The 2,311-nt window shown below is 33.5% G+C and overlaps 1 annotated feature.

Annotated features, from left to right (window-relative positions):
- Positions 328–1,104: an enhancer, noted in NCBI's record as "VISTA enhancer hs582". NCBI's record gives its function as "enhancer in: forebrain[8/9]" and the evidence as "EXISTENCE:transgenic organism evidence [ECO:0001131][PMID:17130149]".

Here is a 2,311-nt window from a genome sequence, read left to right as displayed (position 1 = left end):
TTCATTATCTGAATTTTTCAAAGTCTTAAATCAAAGCGGTTTAATCCTAAATGTTCTGTATAATTCCATCAATTCTCCCCTTGACTTGGTATAAGCAGACAATTTTTATGTCATAAAATGCAAACCTCATAGAAACATATTTTTACTCTGCAAAATATGCAGGAATATATATGTACTTTGCTCTCCATTTACCAAAGTCATTTATAGCCATATGCATTAGGTAAAAACAGGCATGCATATATTCATAATTATGCTTATGCTCTTCCAATACACACATTTTCTTCCTGCATAACAGTACATTACATTTTTTGGTAGTAATTGAATTGAGGACTTCTTTCAATCATTCCACATCATTTAATATTAATCTAAGCAACATAGTCTGCATCTCTTTTAATGCCGATTTTCAAAAATACTTAAGAGAAAAGAAACTTTAAAAATTCTAAGTCATTGTTCAATTTACACATTTTTTAATATCAGTCCACTTGCCAGTGACATACATAAATGTTTCCTGTGAACAGAATTAATTTTTAATTTTACTGAATCAGTGTTAACCAGGAAAAAGGTAATTGTTGTCAAGAGTATTCAAATTGTCAGAATATCCTTCAATCTAAAAGCTGTTAGAATCTGTGCAAAAGTAATTACTGAAACTCTATTCAACTGTAATAATAACCTGCCACTGATGACAGCAATTACTGGGAAAGCGTAATAGAAATCAAAGGCACATTTTTCTCTGACAAGTGCATTTCTAACTAACGTTTACATTGGCTGAATAGTGTTGACAATGATGATGTGCTGTATCATTCTTAATCACGGCTGGCATGATGTTACAGTTTGAACTGCTTACTGTTAGAAAGAGACTAATTGCTTGTTTCATTTGACACTGTCCAGGCTCTCTGTACATAGGAATATATATTTTAGATGAATAGCAGTTAAATGCTATCTTCCTTTGCCTGTTTTACATCCTTTTAATGTGTGAGTTTTAAGTACATTGTACCTCAAATAAAAGAAACTGATTGCAGTAAAGCCAAATTGGCAAGACAAATTTCTAAGATTTTTCAAAAGTTTGGTAACCCATAATTATGTCAAATTATGGAGGCTTTGTTTAATTCTTACCTTTAGCAGTGGTCATCTTCACTATCAGCCCTCTTGGACATGCTCCCTACCATATCTTGAAGTGACATAACAAGCATCCCCTTTCAAGGGATTGTCTGATATTACCACTAGTAACAACAACAACAAAACCTGAAGGAGGTATGAGATGGCCTACTGTCTTGAATCAATCTGAAGGTAAAACACTGTAGACAACGTTTTTTTCTTTCTCAAAAATAGAATAGATATGACAGAATTAAAAGAAAAGAAATATAAGCAAGTTTCACAGAGGAAGCAAGGAAAAGGTATCAAAATTTAAGAGTCTTCAATATAAATTAATATTTAACTTTTTTACAGTGTTCAATTGAATTGAATTTTCTTCATTAGTTGACTTCTAATGGAATTGTACATCAATTTTCCCTAACAGAATTATGAGAAAAACATAAATATTTAATAGGGGAAAATCATGTGGCCCTCTTTTTTGGTGCCCAGGACACAAAATAACATTTTGGATAAAGATACTTACATCTTGGGTTTTAGACTAGGCTCATTTTCGAGGACAAAGTTTTAAAACCAAACTAAGTGAATTGTTGCATGTTGTTATTTTTCTTTGTTCTAGACTTGACTCTGGAATGTTCTCAGTGAATTATGTTAGCTCAGTTCTTGTTAACAGTTTAATCAGGAACACTCAATTCAAGTAATTTAACAACTCTGGTATGTGAAACTATAGAATATAGGATGTAGAGGCTATGAAGAAAATAGAATCTGCAATCTCTGTAGATAAACAGCCAGTAAATAAACCATCTCTTAAACTGTTATGGGGACAAATTATGAGGATATATACATTCACTCTAATAACATTAGTTTCCATACATTTATTCACTGTGAATTAGAACAAGCAAAATAAATATTGGATGAAAATAATCAGTTTATTTTAGGACTCCAGGTTTTCAAAGCGGAAAATTTAATAAGATGTAAAGTTAGTCTAGCTGCAGTGGCTCATTCCTGTAACCTCAGCACTTTGGGAGGCCGAGGCAGGTGGATCACTTGAGGTCAGGTGTTTGAGACCAGCCTGGCCAACAGGGTGAAACCTTGTCTTTACTAAAAACACAAAAATTAGCTGCGTGTGGTGGTGGTGCCTATAATCTCAGCTACTCGGGAGGCTGAGGCAAGAGAATGGCTTGAACCAGGGAGGTTAAGGTTGTAGTGAGCTGAGATTGCA

Source organism: Homo sapiens, chromosome X (assembly GCF_000001405.40).
Source record: "Homo sapiens chromosome X, GRCh38.p14 Primary Assembly".
NCBI classification, from domain to species: Eukaryota; Metazoa; Chordata; class Mammalia; order Primates; family Hominidae; genus Homo; species Homo sapiens.
Note: the sequence above shows the minus strand (reverse complement) of the source record. Positions and strands in the feature narration are given on the sequence as shown.